The 20230-nt window shown below is 40.8% G+C and overlaps 1 long non-coding RNA gene across 1 annotated transcript, besides 1 other annotated feature; it reads right to left on the bottom strand.

Annotated features, from left to right (window-relative positions):
- Positions 1–4033: 4033 nt before the first annotated feature.
- LOC124902247 (uncharacterized) lies at positions 4034–9651 on the bottom strand. The gene is made up of 3 exons (XR_007061730.1): positions 9587–9651; positions 4627–4697; positions 4034–4405 (listed from the first exon to the last, which is right to left on the bottom strand). It is a non-coding gene; the product is annotated as an uncharacterized LOC124902247 (long non-coding RNA).
- Positions 17252–17546: a silencer, noted in NCBI's record as "tiled region #9261; HepG2 Repressive non-DNase unmatched - State 24:Quies, and K562 Repressive non-DNase unmatched - State 24:Quies". NCBI's record gives its function as "represses a minimal TATA promoter and a strong SV40 promoter by Sharpr-MPRA in HepG2 and K562 cells {active_cell/tissue: HepG2 | K562}" and the evidence as "EXISTENCE:reporter gene assay evidence [ECO:0000049][PMID:27701403]".

Raw genomic sequence — 20230 nt, 5'->3', positions numbered from 1 at the left:
GAAAAGATTTCTAGCTAAAGGATATGGCCATTATCATAGCTTTAAAAAAAAGATCATATTATTGAATCAGACTGTCAAGGACTAACCATGTAGAAGAGCTCCACTTTCTTCAAACCCTGGGAAGGGCAATTAGATTTCATCTAGAGTACCATCATTGATTAAATATCAATGTTGACCTGGTACTCCTTTTTGAGAATGACTGCAAGACCACATCTGAATATGGCAGCAAAGAATGCTAAGATAAATTAGTGATGCTTAACCTCAATGAAGGATGGAAGCATGGAAGCACATGTGTTTTGTGTCTGCCAAATCAGCCTTAGCCAGTTCTGGGGATGAATATACATATATTCATTAATTTTTGCCAACATGAAATACAAAAGAAAGTTTCTTGCTTTTGTTATAAAGCATATTTCCATAATTACAATTGTGGTTGAATAGTTTTTCATATGTTTGATGTCCATCTGAACTTATTCTTTTGTAAATTATTTTCCATTATCCTTTGTCCATATTTCCAGTTGTCTTGCTAATATGGACTTATAAGAGTGATTTATATATAAGGATAATTCAATTTTTTTCCTACTATTTTCTAATTTGTTATTTTTATTTTTTATTTTATGTGTGAGTTTTTGATGAATAAAAGTGGTAATTGCTATATGATCAAATAATTTAACATTTTCTTTGTGGTTTCTTCCTTTGTGTTCAGCCTTAAAATATTCCTTCCTACCCTACAATCTTATAAATGTTTATCTATATATTCTTTGGACTTATTTATGATTTAATCTCTTTATATTTATCTCTTAAATCCATCAGAAATCTAAGTTTATATTTTTTTCATAAGTAAGCTATTATCCTAGCATGTATATTTATCTCTTAAATCCATCAGAAATCTAAGTTTATATTTTTTCATAAGTAAGCTATTATCCTAGCATGTTTATTAAACAATCCTTCTTTTTCCACTGATGTGAAATGCAATCTTTATTATGCACTAAATTCTTAACTATTCTGGTGTTTGTTTCAGAAATTTCTGTGCCATTTCATTGATCTATTTCCTTAAATTTGCAACTGAGACATAGTATCCTTTGTCTTTATGTATTAATTTATCTATTTACTTATTTATCTATGTGCCATAGCAGTGAGCATTTTTGGCCTACAGCCTATCAAATCTAATGACTTTCAAATTTATTACTTTTTGTTGTACTAACACAGAAAATTCAAAAAGTAATATCAAACACAGAATTTCCCGTTAGCTTATTAGTTTGTGGGAGATAATTCTTAGGCTTGAGAGGCTTGAGTGGAAATATTGATTATCCTTCTAATTACTATGTTGCAATGAGCAAAATCATCCAAAAGAGACCGAAAAGCAAAAAGTTCATTCTGAGTTGTCTGTACAACACATTCTCTGGATTTAAACTATAAGATCAGAACATAATTTAAAAGGAGAGAAAGAATTTTTATGTAAACTATTATGTGTCTCCTCATTTACATATATGTGGAAAGAAGGCAACCAGATATAGAATAGATAGAGGGGGAACGAAAACATTGCAGAGATGCAGAAGCTGTTGGGCGTGTAGATGTTATCGAAGTTTATTGATTACTTCTAGGAAGGCTGCTTTGCATAATTTTTCTAAAAGAACGTCTCCAACGAAATCCTTAGTAGTTTAGATAAATATACTTTTTTGGAAAGGAGAAACTCATTTTTGCTAAGGAGAAGGTCCCAAAGATTATATGCCCCATCTGGAGCATCAACACAGAATTCTTGCATTTAGAATCCCAAGAGGCTCATGCTCATGAAATTCATTTAGGGTCATGTTCAACAAATAAGAACAATCATTCAACTTCTCCTGAAAGAAGGAACAGCAAACTTTTGATAAAAATAGAAACAATGGGCTGGGTGCGGTGGCTCACGCCTGTAATCCCGGCACTTTGGGAGGCCAAGAAGGGCAGATCACCTGAGGTCAGGAGTTCAAGACCAGCCTGGCCAACATGGTGAAACCCCATCTCTATTAAAAATACAAAAAATTAGCTGGGGATGGTGGTGCACACCTGTAATCCCATCTACTTGGGAGGCTGAGGCAGGAGAATCACTAGAACTCAGGAGGCAGAGGCTGCACTGAGCTGAGATCGTGCCACTGCACTCCAGCCTGGGTGACAGAGCAAGCCTCCATCTCAAAGACAAAAAAGAAAGAAAGGAAGAAAGAAATAATGAAATGTTTGAAATTAAGTAATTAGGAATGCATGCTTAAAGTTTTAATTTTTATCTTTTTCTTAAGAATATTTGCAATAAAGTTTATGGAGTTATTTCCCCTTTTCCTTTCATTAAGAAGTCAGCACATTTACTCTCCTAACTTCTTCAGAATAGCTATGCTTCATTTTCAATAAAGTTAGAATGGATAAAAGCCATGTTAGTACCATGAAATAATTTTTCTGTACTTCCAGTGGCTAAAACAACATTTCCTAATTATCATATGTAATTTACACATATGTACATAATTCATGTATGGGGTGTGTTTGTGAATACTCACTCTTTAATATTCTGGTATTCAGGTAGTACATTTGTAGGACGCATTCTCTTACCTCTGATGGAGGATTACAGAGATGTATGGGGAACTCGAAGTTACCCATCTCCTTCCACTTCAAGACGGAAGAGTTTCATAATATATGGCTCAGGAGAAAATAAAATAGATTTCTTAGGGGACAACTTTGGTCTGTCATACCAAGGCAATGATTCTCAACTATGACTGCATATTAGAATCACCTGAGGAATTTAAAAACAAAACAAAACACTCCAGAGATTCTTACTTACGTGGTTCAGGATAAGAATTTTTTTTTTTTTTTTTTTTTTTTGAGACCGGGTCTTGCACTGTCGCCTGGGCTGGAGTGCAGTGACGTGATCTCAGCTCACTGCAACCTCCGCCTCTCAGGTTCAAGCGATTCTGCTGCCTGAGCCTCCCAAGTAGCTGGGATTACAGGTTCCTACCACCACACCCAGCTAAATTTTTGTATTTTTCACAGAGAAGAGGTTTCACTATGTTGGCAAGGCTGGTCTCAAACTCCCGCCTGGCCAACATAGCAATCCGCCCGCCTCGGCCACCCAAAGTGCTGGGATTATAGGCGTGAGCCACCACGCCTGGCCCAGGATAGGCATTTTTTAAGAGTACCCTAGGTACTCTTAAAAATCTAAGGTATAGCCAAGGTTGAAAACCTTTATTCTTAGGGCTGGAGGACAAAGTTGTGGTCTATGAATAGATGACTTACCTCAACTCCTTTCTAGGTCTTGGGAAGTGCTCTCTTTCCTTTGGCGTGTTTTTCGTGATTCATCTCTGGTGTCTCTCTTGCAAGCATATGAACACATGGAAGGAATCACACTGCTTTTTCCTTGCCTCCTGAGGACACGGGCTTGGAAGATGCTGATGAAAGAAACCCCCCATGCTCCAGATGCGTTGGAGAAGTATGTGGAAAAGATCAGAAGGGATGAGATTATGAGAAATATAAGGCCATGAAATTAACTTATTTGCTTTTTATGTGACAGAAAGCACAAGCATAACTGAATTTTGCGGTGGCAGGAAACCAGGGCCTCAGAATAAATTTAAAGGAGAACTGAGGTTTTAAATTTTTAAGGGTACCCTAAAGTACAAAAGAGGATATCAAAAAGGTGTTGGAAACTGGAGGTATCACTACTGGTAACTTCCTTTGAGGGAGGCAAAACATTTTATTTATTATTATTATTTTTTATTTTTTATTTTTTTGAGATGGAGTCTCGCTCTGTTGCCCAGGCTGGAGTGCAGTGGCACGATCTCGGCTCATTGCAAGCTCCACCTTCCGGGTTCACGCCATTCTCCTGTCTCAGCCTCCCAAGTAGCTGGGACTACAGGTGCCCACCACCACACCTGGCTAATTTTTGTATTTTTTTTTTTTTTTAGTAGAGATGGAGTTTCACCATGTTAGCCAGGATGGTCTTGATCTCCTGACCTCATGATCTGCCCACCTTGGCCTCCCAAAGTGCTGGGATTTCAGGCGTGACCCACCGACAAAACATTTTAAATGCCAGCATCTGCATGGGGCAGGTAACCAGCATTGAGGATGAATTTTGTACCCCAGGATGTGGGAAACCTGATGTTTCTAGTAAAAGCTCGACAGGTGATGGATTCTGGGATATTGGCACAGGTTGTCTGGCATCTTGCCAAAGCTAAAGAGATGAGAATGTTCTCTTTTTTCACTCCATTAGGTTTAGCTTATTCTGGATTTCCCTTCTGAATCTCTGGACTAAATTAAGCCTCTGTCTTGGTGCAGGGCTAGAAAAAGTGCAGTACAGCGCTCTGGTGGTCACTTGTGTTCCGGGGATTCTTCTGCATTTTCTGTGTTTTCAGCAGGGACCTGTACTGTGGTATGTCCATGTGCCTTGGATCTGGGAAAAAAGCACGGAAGTCTCTGTGAGAAGGGTCATGAGCCTCTGCTTCAAACCCTGATTCTTTAATAGACCAAACTGATAAGGTAAAAACAAAGCAAAATGAAACACTTCCTGTTGAATTCCCCAATTGGCTTCACCCTTACATTCTCTTGTCTCCACTTCAACTAACTGTCTGTAAAGAGGAGTATATAAGTAAAACAGGAAATAAGATGACCTACGTCAGTGAGGGCTCTTCAGCTTCTCTTTTTCTCGGAGGAGCACAGCTCCTGGGTTTCTCAGATTGGTCACTCTGGTGAGGTGCAAGGAAGAACAGCAGAATGTAAAACAGCAGCTGAGGCACAGGAAGCCTTCTCTGCATTTATCCAGACAAATCCACTCACTCTGAACATCTGGGGTGGGGGAAGGGAAGAGGATGGCGGTGAATACAAGTTTCACGAATATAGCGCAATTCAAAAGCATGGGCACTGGGAGGATGACTCACTCCTTCCTGGATGGTCTTCCCATTGCTAAAGTGGCCTAACATTGGCAGAATCACACATTTCACAAAGTAGAATACACATGCTTTAAGTGGTTTGATAAATAATTTTGCAGATAGCTACAGAATTTCATAAGCAGCTGACTCTGGTATAAAGAGGGAATTATGACCGGGCGCGGTGGCTCATGCCTGTAATCCCAGCACTTTGGGAGGACGAGGCGGGTGGATCACGAGGTCAGGAGATCGAGACCATCCTGGCTAACAGGGTGAAACCCCGCCTCTACTAAAAACACACACAAAAAATTAGCCGGGCGTGGTGGCGGGCGCATGTAGTCCCAGCTACTCGGGAAGCTGAGGCAGGAGAATGGCGTGAACCCAGGAGGCGGAGCTTGCAGTGAGCTGAGATCGTGCCACTGCATTCCAGCCTAGGCGACAGAGCGAGATTCCATCTCAAGAAAAAAAAAAAAAAGGGAATTATGGTTGCATTTTGAAATTCTGAAAGGAAAGAGAGAGGGCCAGTACATGAAACCAAACCCTGAGCCAGCTACCTGGAGGCTTTCTCTTATGCTCCAGCATAAAAATGCAGCCCATTCTCTACAAAATCGGAAAAGATGAGGCCCGTGAGAAACTTTAGGCTGGGTAACAATATAGAAGCGCTGACATACAGTAGTGCTGGGGCAGGATGGCCCAGGTTACACCTGCTGAAGAAAGGATCCAGACCCCCCTGTGTCCTGACAGGCTTCTCCTCTGGCTGAGAGTGATTGAATAGGAAGAAATGGGACAGAAAAGAGTTTTTGTTTTTGTATTTATTTTGGTGCATAGGTTCCTCTGTGGGTATTTGCAATTAAAATGGTTAAAGAGTTACATGATTTAAACATTTTAGAGCTGTTCAGAAATAATGTGGCATTTTTAACTCGCTACACATCATTTAGTATTCTTTCTGATTGACAAACATTAATTGATTTATTTCAAATGGAAAATAATGTAAAGGCATGGCATATAGATGTATATATTTCTGATGTTTTTATGCATATGTGAGTATAGGAGAACAGTATATGAAATCTTAACTTGTAGGAGACTTTAACAACTAAAGGGACATTCTATTTTTCTCCTCTAGAACACCCCTGTATTCCCACTGAGAGATAAAAACCGTGTTAGCTGGCCAGGTCAAAAGCTCCTTTACCTCTGCATGAAATAGAGATTTTGGAAGATGTGGTCTGGGAGTACAGATTATTTTTCTGGCCCCTCCCTTTTTTAGATAGGACTAATGGGTTGGATGAAAAGAGGATGGATTGATGGGACTAGCAGGGCACCATCCTGACCTTCAAAGACAGGGTAAATTAATTTAAGAGTAGCTGATTATTTGCCTGTACTATCCAGATTTTTAATATAAAGTATCCCCAGGAATGGGTCGCACATCGCTAGGTGAGATAGAGTGACACAAGGAGGCTGAAGAACATGGTAAGAGAATGCCCATTGAATGGCTACAGTGAGGGTGGAACAAGTGAAGGGTAAGTCATGCAAGTGCACGGCAGATCCTTTTGTTAATTAAAACTGTGATATTTTGTTAATCATTTGTTTGCATTCATTCTGCTATTTTAAAAATATTGCGTTAGGATGTCATTTATCTTGATTACTAAAGTTGTTGGCACCTCATTAAGTTTTGTGCTCAAGGCAAGTGACTCACTGACCTCACCCCAGCTGTGTCCCATTGGCTGCCTGGAACAGAGGCTGTGCAAAATACCCAACCAAAGGCTGTACCAGGGACTGTGTGGGTGAGGGGTAGAAGGCTGAGTGACAGACATCCAAGCCAGGGATTGGATGCACGGCATGACTCATCCTCAAGGGAATTTCCTTTCCCTAAAAGCTGCTCAAGGGACCAGGTGTCTGCCCATAGGGACCTCACCTAATGTTCCAAAACACACCAGATCTGAAATCACAGTGGAGAAAAGAATAAAGACAAAAGGACACTTCTCAAATGAGAAATCTAGGGCCAAGAAGCAAGTACACCCTTCTACTTCCTAAAAGCAGCCAACGATTCAGGAACCGGTCCCTAGGTCTCTCCATATAGAAAGACAAAGGTCACACTGAACAGAGGAGAAAAAGTCTACATAGCATTTATGATTAAGGCTATGGATAAGAAATGTCCTATTTAATAAGAAATAAAAGATTTCACCTGATCATTTTGAAAGTCAACACAATAAATGTCCTAGAGTTGGCTCTGTGAGTTACCAGTGTTATGCTAGCTTTTTTTTTTTAGTTGGCTCAGCAAACTATCGCGAGAACAAAAAACCAAACACCGCATGTTCTCACTCATAGGTGGGAATTGAACTATGCTAGCTTTTCATTCCGAGCCCTTTCACCTCAGGTCACAAGCAGACTGTGACAGCTCAGGGCATTATATTCTCACATGGCCCCCCAAAAGGCAGAAACTAGGGTGTTTGTATTAAAGGGACTGGAGAGAACCATTGAGGAAAAGGTCTCATTGAACTCCCTGTCTTTCTCAGGGATGAAAAACCTTTCCAAGAAGCATCCAACTGACTTCCCCTTATGTCTCTTTGGTCAAATTGGATCACATGACCATGTCCTGCAAGTGGAGGTTCTGAGAAAATAAGATTCTGTTTTCTTCAGCCACTGTAGTAGTGAGAACCTGTCAAGGGTAAAGGGGATGGGTATGATTACTGGGGACTCAACTAACAGTGTTTGCCACAACATCCAAGTTCATGGTTATACAATTTGTCTGTTATCTATATTCACATAGAGATGAATACACACATACATCTACGCATACACAAATGAGATAACAACAACAAAACCCCACAAATGTTAGTATGTGCGATCATAAGCACACACTGGCTGGGCTTAGTGGAGTGGCTCAGCTTGGAGGAGTGGCTCTACTCATCTCAGCTGGGGGCCCTCCTGCACCTGGCTATTATGGGCTGGGCTACGGAGACTTGGCTCTGCATTCCTTATCTCCCTGCTGTCTCCTGGGACCAATGGGCTAATACAGGCATGTTTTTTCTTATGGCAAGAACAGAGGTTCAAGAGAGAGCTCACTGTGCTAATACATTTCAAGCCCAAGCTTGTGCGATTCTGTGAACATCTTGTTTGTTAAAGCAAGTCACAAGGCTGAGCCCCAAATTAAGGGGTGTTGAAGCAATGCCTCCCATGGAACTGAGGAGTAGAGTCCAATCTACCCTGCAAAGAAAATGGAAGGGAACAAAGGAAGGCGGCAAACATGCATTAAAAACAAAGAACCTGGAATAAAGTGACAGGAAACTAAATGTTTTAGTTAAAATAATTCGTGAAAATGGGTTAATATCCTAATGCATCTCAAAGAGACAAAGACTAAAAAAGAAGGTAAAAAGAAAGAGTAAAGAAATATCCAAGCAAATCGGAAATAGTAATGATGGTGATGACAATAATAATAATAATAATAGTAATATTATAATAAAAGCTGAAGTGCCATCCAGCTGTTTCAGACACAGATCTGTGGTGGCAGATTCCCTGATCTCTGCTGGTGATGTCCCTGACTCTCACTCCTACAGTTCTCCCAACTACCATATAAAGTCTACATCCTACATTAAACTCTTCATTCCTGGAAAAAAAAAAAAAGAGCTGCAGTGTCATCCAGACATAGATAGAATTCAAGGTAAATATATTAGATGAATAAAGACTGGTTTTATGCTATTAAAGTTATGAAGTTACATTGTTAATAAATGAATGTTTATTCACAGTAATATGTAAATATGAGCATTTATGCATAAAATTTAAAACATCATAAAAATATAAAGCAAACCCTGGAAAAATACAAATATAAATGGTCAAAAACTGTACTAGATTTTAACAGACTTTCAGCCTCAAACAGATGGAATAGATTAAAGTGACTAAGGATATAGAGTAGTTGGATAATGTATGTAATAAAGTTGATTTATAAGATAAATTATACATATCTTACAACCAAAAGTGTTTATTTTTCTCAAAATCTAATGGTATGTTTTACTGCATGTCATATAGTAGGCCACAAGAAATTTCAATAAGATCAGAGGATGTACACGCCTGTTTTTAACTCCAGTGAAATAAAGTCAGGAATTAATTTAAAATAGGTCAAAAAAAACATACAAATAAACACTTGAAGTTAAAAAAACAACATAAAAATAAAACACACCATTACTTCAATAATTTCTGGGCAAAAGAGGAAAATAAACTCCAATTATAGATTGTTTAGAAAATAATAATGATACTACACATAGATTTAGTTAATGGAAAATTTTATCTGTAAAAGCTCTATTTAAAAAAGCAGAATAAGGGGTAAGTAAATACAGCACCTTCAACTGAAATATCTGGGATCTTGCACTGGGACTGACTAGGCAATCAATTTGACCCACAAAGAAATAAGAAAAGCAGGGTGGAGCGATGGCCCACCCGGGAGTGGCACAGAGACAAGGGAACCCTCCACCCCCAGCCAAGGGAAGCCGTGAGTGATTGTGCAACCATGCCTGAGAAACCAGGCCTCTTTCACGGATGTTTGCAACCCCTGCATCAGGAGATCCCCTTGTGAGCACACACCACCAGGGCCTTGGGTCTGACACACAGAGCTATGCGGAATCTCGGCAGAGCAGCTGCTCAGGCATGCACAGAGACCCAGGAGCTTTACATATTCGGCCCTAGGATCCTCAGCAAGGCAGGAGGTCGGTACATACCCCTAGGAAGGAGGCTGAATCCAGGGAGCCAAGCAGCGTCGGTCTGTGGGCTTCACTTCCAGAGCACTTCACAAGATAAGACCTACTGGCTTGGAATTCCAGCCAGCCAATGGCAACAGCGTGGAGCCCGCCTGAGATGGAGCTCCCAGTGGGAGGGGCAGCTGCCATCTCTGTGGTTTGGTAGACTCAGCCTTCCAGCCCACCGGCTTTGGAGAGTTCAAATGGTCCAGAAGAGGAAGGGTCCTCCAGTGCAGCACGGCTGCTTTGCCAGATCATGGCCAGACTGCTTCATTAAGCAGGACCCCAGTCCACTTCTCTTCAACGGGCAGGACCTCCCTGTTGGGGCTACAGCACCCCCAGCAAGTTTTGTATGGACGGAGCTCTGATCTCTCCCTGGAATGGAGCTCCTGTGGGGAGGGGCTGCCACAATCTCTGTGATTTGGTCGACTCAGCTATTCCAGCTCAGTGGCTTTGGAGACTCCAAATGGTCCAGATGAGAAACAGTATCTGGAGTGCAGCACAGCTACTTTGCCAGATCGTGGCCAGACTGCTTCTTTAAGTGGGATCCCCGATCCACTCCTGCTCATGGGGCAGGTCCTCCCAGCTGGGACATCAACCCACTCCCCGCTCATGTTCTAAGGCTAACAAAGCTCTAACTTCCTCCTGGGATGGAGTGCCTGGGGGGCAGGGCAGGCTGCCATCTTGGCTATTCGAGTTTCTCAGTCAATCCAGGCTGCCAGCCCTGAAGAGCCCACAGCGATCTGGGACTGAAGGGATCCCCAACACACAGCACACCTGCTCTACCCAAAAGTGCTAGAGTGATTCTTTAAATGGTTCCTTGATCCTGTTCCTCCTATGTGAAAACTCCCAACAGAGGTCTCCAACCACCTGCTACAGGCATGTCCAGGCCCACAACAGGCAGATACCCATCTGAGATGGAGTTTCCAGAGGAAGGAGCAGGCTGCCATTTGACAGTATTAGACAGATCACTAAGACAGAAAATTAACAAAGATATTCAGGACCTGAACTCAGCTCTGGATCAAGTGAACCTGGTAGACATCTACAGAACTCTCTGCCCCAAAACAACAGAATATACATTCTTCTCATCGCCACATGGCACTTACTCTAAAATTGATCACATAATCGGAAGTAAAACATTCCTCAGCAAATACAAAAGAATTGAAATCATAACAATCTCTCAGACCATAGTGCAATCAAATTAGAACTCAAGACCAAGAAATTCACTCAAAACCATACAACTACATGGAACTTGAACAACTTGCTCCTGAATGACTATTGGGTAAATAATGAAATTAAGGCAGAAATCATTTGTGTCCACACCCAAATCTCATCTCAAAATGTAATCCCCAGGTGTTGAGGGAGGGACCTGGTGGGAGGTGATTAGGTCATGGGGGTGGTTCCCCCGTAATGTTCTCGTGATAGTGAGGAAGTTCTCTTGAGATCTGATGGTTTTAGAAGGGGCTCTTCACTTCCTACCCATGCTCCCTCTCACCTGCCACCATGTAAGACATGCCTGCTTTCCCTTCCACCATGATTGTAAGGTTCCTGAGGCCTCCCCAGTCGTGTGGAACTGTGAGTCAATTAAACCTCTTTCCTTTTGAAGTTACCCAGTCTCAGGTATGTCTTTGTAGCAGTGTGAAATGGACTAATACAGTAAATTTGTACTGGTAGAGGGAGTACTGCTATAAAGATACCCAAAAATGTGGAAGCAACTTTACTTTGGAATTGGGTAACAGGCAGAGGTTGGGACAGTTTGGAGGGCTCAGAAGAAGATAGGAAGATGTGGGAAAGTTTAGAACTTCCTAGAGATTTGTTGAATGGTTTTGATCAAAGTGCTGATAATGATGTGGACAGTGAAGTCCAGACTGAGGTGGTCTCAGATGGAGATGAGAAACTTCTTGGGAACTGGAGCAAAGGTCACTCTTGCTATGCTTTAGCAAAGTGACTGGCAGGCATTTTGTCCCTGCCCTAGAGATCTGTGGAACTTTAAACCTGAAAGAGATAATCGGAAATTGGAACTTATGTTTAAAAAGGAAACAGAACATAGAAGTTTGGAAAATTTGCAGCCTAATGATGTGATAGACAAGAAAAACCAATTTTCTGGGGAGAAATTCAAGCTGGCTGCAGAAATTTGCATAAGTAATTAGGAGGCAAATGTTAATCGCCAAGACACTGGTGAAGATGTCTCCCAGGGCATACCAGAGATCTTGATGGCAGCCCCTCCCATCACAGACCCACAGGACTAGGACGGAAATATGGTTTCATGAGCTGGGCCCAGGGTTCCCCCTGCTCTGTGCAGTCTAGGGACTTGGTACCCTGTGTCCCAGCTACTCCAGCTCTAGCCATGGCTAAAAGGGGCCAAGGTACAGCTCAGGCCATTGCTTCAGAGGGTGCAGGCCCTAAGCCTTGGTGGCCTCCACATGGTGTTGGGCCTATGGGTGCACAGAAGTCAAGAACTGAGGTTTGGGAACCTCTACCTACATTTCAGAGGACATATGGAAATGTCTAGATGTCCAGCCAGAATTCTGCTGCAGAGGCAAAGCCCTCATGGAGAACCTCCACTAGGGCAGTGCAAAGGGGAAATGTGGGGTTGAAACACTCACACAGAGTCCCCACTGGAGCACTTCCTAGTGGAGATATAAAAAGAGGGCCACCATCCTCCAGACCCCAGGATGCTAGATCCACTGACAGCTTACACCACATGCCTGGAAAAGCCAGCAGTGAAAGCAGCTGGGGAAGGGGACGCTACCCTGAAAGGCCATAGGGGCAGGGCTGTCCAAGGCCATGGGAGCCCACCCTTTGCATCAATGTGCCATGGATGTGAGACATGGAGTTAAAGGAGATTCTCTTGGAGCTTTAAGATTTAATAATTGCTCTGCTGGATTTCAGACTTGCATGGGGCCTGTAGCCCCTTTGTTTTGGCCAATTTCTCCCACTTGGAATGGGAGCATTTATCAAATGCCTATACCCCCATTCTATCTGGAAGTAACTAACTTGCTATTTACAGGCTCCTAGGTGGAAGGGACTTGCCTGGTCTCAGATGAGACTTTGGACTTGGACTTTTGGGTTAATGCTGGAATGAGTTGACTTTGGGAGAACTTTTGGGAAGACATGATTGGTTTTGAAATGTGTAAAGACATGGGTTTCGGAGGGGCAAAGAGCAGAATAATATGGTTTGGTTTTGTGTGCTCACCCAAATCTTATCTCAAAAATGTAATCCCCAGGTGTTAAGGAAAAGACCTGGTTGGAGGTGACTGGATCATGGGATTTGTTTCCCTCATGCTTTCCTCATGTTAGTGAGTGAGTTCTCCTGAGATCTGATGGTTTTATAAGGGGCTCTTTCCCCTTCACTTCTTTCACATGCTCTCTCTCACCTGCCACCACATAAGACATGCCTGCTTCCCCTTCCACCATGATTGTAAATTTCCTGAGGACTCCCCAGTCATATGGAACTGTGAGTCAATTAAATCTCTTTTCTTTATAAATTACCTAGTCTCTGGTATGTCTTTGCAGCAGGGTGAAAATGAACTAATATGACCATTGATGCAAAAATTTGCAAAAAAATACTGGCAAACCAAATCCATCAGCACATCAAAAAGCTTATTCACCGCAACCAACTTGGCTTCATCCCCAGGATGCAAAGTTGATTCAACATACACAAATCAATAAATGTGATTTATCACATAAACAGAACTAAAGACAAAAGCCATATGATTATCTCAATAGATACAGAAAAGACTTTTGATGAAATTCAACATTCCTTCATGTTAAAAACTCTCAATAAACTAGTTGTTGGAGGAATATACCTCAAAATAATAAGAACCATTTATGACAAACCCCAAACCAACATCATACTGATTAGGGAAAAGCTGGAAGCATTCTCCTTAAAAACTGGCACAAGACAAGGATACCCTCTCTCACCATTCTTATTCCACATAGTATTGGAAGTCCCAGCCAGAGTAATTGGGCAAGAGAAAGAAATAGAGGGCATCCAAATAGGAAGAGAGGAAATCAAATTATCACTGTTTTCAGATAACACGATTCTATATCTAGAAAACCCTAGAGTCTTGGCCTCAAACTCCTTCAGCTGATAAACAACTTCAGCAAAGTTTCAGGAAACAATGCCAACATACAAAAATCACTAGCATTTCTATACACCAACAATAGCCAAGCTGAGAGACAAATCAGGAACGCAATCTCATTCACAACTGCCACAAATAAAATAAAATAAAATAAAATACTTAGGAATACAGCTAACCAGGGAGGTGAAAGAGCTCTACAATGAGAATTATAAAACACTTCTCAAAGAAATCAGAGATGACACAAACAAATGGAAAAACATGCCATCCTCATGGATAGGGAGAATTAATATCGTGAAAATTGCCATACTGCCTAAAACAATTTATAGATTCAATGCTATTCCCATTAAACTACCATTGACACTCTTCACAATTCAGAAAAAAAAAACTTTTAAAATTCACATGGAACCAAAAAAGAGCCTTAATAGCCAAGACAATCCTAAGCAAAAAGAACAAAGCTAGAGGCATTACGCTACCCAACTTCAAACTATACTACAAGGCTACAGTAACCAAAAACAGCATGATACTGGTACAAGAACAGACACATAGACCAATGGAACAAGATAGGGAACCTAGAAATAAGACTGCACACATACAATCATCTGATCTTCGACAAATCTCACAAAATCAAGCAATGGGGAAAGGATTCCCTGTTTATCAAATGGTGCTGGGAGAACTGGCTAGCCATATGCAGAAAATTGAAACTAGGCACCTTCGTTACACTGTATACAAAAATCAACTCAAGATGGATTAAAGACTTAAATGTAAACCCCAAACTATAAAAATCCTAGAAGAAAATCTAGGCAATATTATTCAGGACATAGGCATGGCAAAAATTTTGTGAAGAAAACACCAAAAGCAGTTGCAACAAGTGCAAAAAGTTACAAATGGGATCAAATAAAACTAAAATGCTTCTTCACAGCAAAAGAAACTATCATCAGAGTGAACAAAGAATGTACAGAATGGGAGAAAAGTTTTGCAATCTATCCTTCTACAAAGGTCTAATATCCAGAGTCTATAAGGAACTTAAACAAATTTACAAGAAAAAAAAACAGATAACCCCATTAAAAAGTAGGCAAAGGACATGAACAGACACTTCTCTAAAGAAGACATACATGTGGCCAACAAATATATGAAAAGAAGCTCATATCACTGATCATTGGAGAAATACAAATCAAAACCACAATGAGATACCATCTCAGCCAGTCAGAATGTCTACTATTAAATAGTAAAAAACCAACAGATGTTGTCGAGGTTGTGGAGAAAAAGGAATGCTTATATGCTGTTGGTGGAAGTGTAAATTAGCTTAACCATTGTGGGAGACAGTGTAGCAATTCCTTAAAGACATAAAAACAGAAATACCATTGGACCCAGCAATCCCATTACTGGGTATATACCCAAAGGAATACATATCATTCTATTATAAACATACATACAAACCTATGTTCATTGCAGCACTGCAATGGCAAAGGCATGGAATCAACCTAAATGCCCATCAATGATAGACTGGATAAAGGAAATGTGGTGCATATACACCATGGAATACATGCTGCCACAAAAAGGAATGAGATCATGTCCTTTGCAGGAACATGGATGGAGTTGGAAGCCATTATCCTCAGCAAACTAATGCAGCAACAGAAAACCAAACACCCCATGTTCTCACTTGTAAGTGGGAGCTGAACGATGAGAACACATGGTCACATGTCAGGAAGCAACACACTCTGGGGCCCGTGGGAGGGTGGGGGGGTGGGAGGAGGGAGTGCCTTAGGAAGAATAGCTAATAGGTGGTGGGCTTAATACCTAGTTGATGGGATAATCTGTGCAGCAAACCATCATGGCACATGTTTACCTGTGTAACAAACCTCCACATCCTGCACGTGTACCCTGGAACTTCAAATAAAAGTTAATTCAGAATAAATGGATTTAAGTCAAGGAACTACAAAAGACATTGTTCAGAATAAAAGCATAATTTAATGTATCAGAAAACGAGTCTAAGCATTTGTTCTCTAAAAAGCATAACAACATAGATAAACATTTACAGGTGCAATTAAGAAAAAAACAGTAAAATTACCAATACGCAATATTGGGAAGAAACTAACACCACAGGTATGAAGGAGGATACAATAAATCAAAGCACATGCTACTCAAATTTTCTGGTTAATACATTTTAAGATGTGCTAATTTAAGGACAATTTCCTAAGAAAATATGAATTACTAAAACTTACTTAAGAAGTATCGAACTTTGAATGAACAGGTGACTTTTAAAGAGTAATTGAGGGCCAGATGCAGTGGCTCACACCTGTAATCCCAACACTTTGGGAGATGGAGGCAGGAGGATCAGTTGAGTCCAGGAGTTCAAGACCAGCCTGGGCAACATAGTGAGAACCTTTCTCTATTTAAAAATAATAATAATAATAATTGAGGAACAAAATACAATTGTTATTCAAAACATAAAGTAATGAATCTAGTTCTGAGTAAAATGGAGTAAGCACACTCCACCCTGACTTAAATCCATTTATTCTGAATTAACTTTTATTTTAAGTTCCAAGGTACATGTGCAGGATGTGGAGGTTTGTTACATAGGTAAACGTGTGCCGTGAAGGTTGGGTGCACAGATTATCCCGTCAACTAGGTATTAAGCCCAGCCCATCCCACTGAATGCAGCTGAAACTGCCATTGCACAATTGTAACTGAGACAGTGAAAGAGATCTGACTTAACCAACTCCATCTTTCTTCTAACCTCCAAGCTGTCCTTGTTCATTCCTGGGCATTAGGCTGAACTAACTTCAGAGAAACTTAGTTTATAGTTTAAAGCAAATATGATAACAGCCCTTTCCCAAACAAACATCTTTCTTGCCTGGGGACTAGAATGCTTTTGCAGGACTAACAAAGTAGCCACAAGATTAGAAATTAGGGTTTAGGAGTAATACAGCTGGAGACTACAAGATTCTGACCCTCTCTAAACTGTTCCCAAGATCAGTGATTGAGATATTTTGCAGATCCCATACTTGATCGATCAGCTGGTATCACCCAGATCAATAAACTGGCTCATCTGATCTTGTGGCTCCCACCCAGGAACTGACTCAGCACAAGAGGGCAGCTTCAATTCCCTATGATTTCATCTCCGACCCAACCAATCAGCATTCCCGACTCACTGGCCTTCCCCCACCCACAAAATTGTCCCTGAAAACTGTGATCTCTGAATGCTTACAGGAGACTGATTTGAGTAATAATACAGCTCTGGTCTCCTGCACAGCTAGCTCTGCATGAATTACTCTTTCCGAATTGCAATTCCCCTGTCTTGATGAATCTGCTCTGTCTAGGCAGTGGGAAAGGTGAACCCACTGAGCAGTTACACAACTATAAAATCTGCACAGAGTGCATGGAGCCATAATTTGAGGGCACTGAAAAGTTAATAGTAGCAGGTGGTTTTGGGCAGAAGGTTAGAATTTAAAGTGCCATGGAAGCAGTAGTGAGTTTTTTTTACCAGTTTTATTCCCCTCTAGGATCCCCTGGTGTTAATTCAATACAGCCTGAAACCCCAAGTAAGCATGGATGCAGACAGAGAGAGCTCCAGAAGTGGCATTCAAATTCTACCTTAGAGAGTGGGAAAGAGAGAGAGAGAAATTCCATTTGTCTTTCTTCTCTCTGTTTTCTTACTTCCCCACCCTTAGGCAATCTCTTGACAGTGGCAGCCACGGTAGAGTTTGTAATGCAACAGGAATCTGCAGGAGCCAAACCTTGGAGGAAAAAGAACCTTCTTATCTTAATGGAGGACTTGTAAATCTAGGAGGATGGGGGCAAAACCTCTTTGTCCTCCTGTCATTTTGATGCCAGAAAAAGAGGTCCCAATTCCAGATCCCAAGAGAGGGTTCTTGGATCTCACACAGGAAGGAATTCAAAATTCAAGACACGTCACAGAGTGCAGTGAGAAGAGATAGTTTATTGAAAGTTACTCAGATGCACAATAGGGTGTCTTCAGAAAGTAAGAGGAGGAATGTGCCATCTGTTTTAAACCCTTCTCATATAGGGGTCTTATATATGAAAAAGCTGAGCTAATTATGTCTACATGCGGGTGTGTGGTCATGATAAAATTTAGTACTTTGTTGAGTTGATTGAAAGACAGTTATTCTTAGCATTTTAGTGCATAAGTACATCAAACCATGACTATAACTAACTTAAAAGCATATATTGTTATGCAGTATCAGGACATCTGGACATTCTGCTGTTGTAAGAGTTTGTCCTTGCAGGGATTACTGAACTGGTTCCTTAATGTAAACATGACAAAATTTAGTACTTTGTTGAGTTGACTGAAAGATAGTTGTTCTTAGCATTTTAGTGCATACGTGCATCAAAGCATGGCTTTTAACTATCTTAAAAGCATATATTGTTATGCAATATCAGGACATCTGGACATTCTACTCTTGTAAGAATTTGTCCTTGCAGGCATTACTGAACTGCTTCCTTACTGTAAACATCTTATGACTACTGATGGTGACTGACAAGGAATGTCCTTGCTAGTTTTAAGATGGAACTGATTTTAAAATAGTTTCACCTTGACTTTCCTATGCTTCTGTTTTCCTAGTTGACCTAGATGCAAGGACACTCACAGAAGTGTATAGGAGAGCAGGATAATTCAAGTCCCAGCTTCAGGGGCAGAGGTCTAAAAAAGGGAGCCCCAGAAAACCAGAATGTAATGGGGGACATGTGGGGAGCAAAGGGCTTAGGAACTTCTGGGCTCACTCCTGAGCTGCTCACCCATGAATCTGAACTTCATTAGTAAGGATATCTCAGATAGAATACTACCCATATCCCAGATTGACCAGTGAGGAGCTCACACACAGGAAAAACTGTAATAGTATTGCAGAAACTTTGAAACTTGAATTAACATTGGAATCAATACCCACGGAAGGTTGGTTACATCTTGTTATCTGAGCCTCCCCAGGTTAACTGTAAACTAAAACAAAATATCAGCACTTTCAATAGGATTTAAAGGAGACCCAGAATCTCATAACATAATATTAAAATATTCAGGATATGATTAAATATTACTTGTCCTACCAAAAAAAGGGGAACTACTTGTATGGGAAAATATCGGGGAACCTGCCCTGATAGTCACGTAGGTTCTTTTCTATTTTCCCTAAGCATCGGCCGGCTTGAGAAATAAAGGGACAGAGTACGAAAGACAGAAATTTTAAAGCTGGTATCCGGGGAAGACATCACATGTCAGTAGGTTCCATGATGCCCCCCAAGCCACAAAACCAGCAAGTTTTTATAGGGATTTTCAAATGGGGAGGGAGTGTGCGAATAGGTTTGGGTCACAGACATCAAGTACTTCACAAGGTAATAGAATATCACAAGGCAAGTGGAGGCAAGGCGAGATCATGGGACCACAGGACCGGGGCGAAATTAAAATTGCTAATGAAGTTTCAGGCACCACTGTCATTGATAACATATCAGGAGACAGGGTTTTGAGAGCAACTGGTCTGACCAAAAATTTATTAGGCAGGAATTTCCTCTTCCTAATAAGCCTGGGAGTGCTATGGGAGACTGGGGTCTATTTCACCCCTACAGTCTACAGACCATAAAAGACAACCACACTTAGGGGGGCCATTTATAGACCTATACCCCCAGGTGTGTATTCTCTTTCCCAGGGAGGTTCCTTGCTGAGAAAAAGAATTCAGCGATATTTCTCCCATTTGCTTTTGAAAGAAGAGAAATATGGCTCTGTTCTGCCCGGCTCACCGGCAGTCAGAGTTTAAGGTTATCGCTCTTATTCCCTGAACAATTGCTGTTATCCTGTTCTTTTTTCAAGGTGCCCAGATTTCATATCGCTCAAACACACATGCTGTACAATTTGTGCAGTTAATGCAATTATTACAGGGTCCTGAGGTGACATACATCCTCCTCAGCTGACAGGATTAAGAGATTAAAGTAAAGACAGGCATAGGAAATCACAAGGGTATTGATTGGGGAAGTGATAAGTGTCCATGAAATCTTCACAATTTATGTTTAGAGATTGCAGTAAAGACAGGCATAAGAAATTATTAAAGTATTAATTTGGGGAACTAATAAATGTCCATGAAATCTTCACAATCCACGTTCTTCTGCCATGGCTTCAGTCAGGCCCTCCGTTTAGGGTCCCTGACTTCCCTCAACAGGAAAAGATGGCCCCAGATGAAAGATCTTAGAATTATATCATAAAAACTTTAGAAGAGCTATCATATGAAGACCCAACAAGCAATCATAAACACTCTTGAAACAAATGGAAAAATACAAAGTTTCATGCAAAAAATAGAAGCAATGAAGAAGGAAGTGAAAAACTTTAAACTGAAAGATATAATAACTGAAAACAAAAACTTACTGAATGGGGCAAATAGTAGATTTGAGATAACAAAGAAAAGGGGAATATTATCAATTCAGAATTATATATCCAGCAAAAATATCCTTCAGGAACTTAAATGGAATAAATACATTTTCAGATGAAAGAAAACTATGAGGATTTGTTGCTAGTAGATTTGCTCTACAAATATTTACTAAGCAA

The sequence above is a fragment of the Homo sapiens genome, chromosome 9, assembly GCF_000001405.40.
Source record: "Homo sapiens chromosome 9, GRCh38.p14 Primary Assembly".
Lineage (NCBI taxonomy): Eukaryota > Metazoa > Chordata > Mammalia > Primates > Hominidae > Homo > Homo sapiens.
The sequence above is the reverse complement of the archived record's forward strand: the minus strand, read 5'-3'. Positions and strand labels throughout refer to the sequence as shown.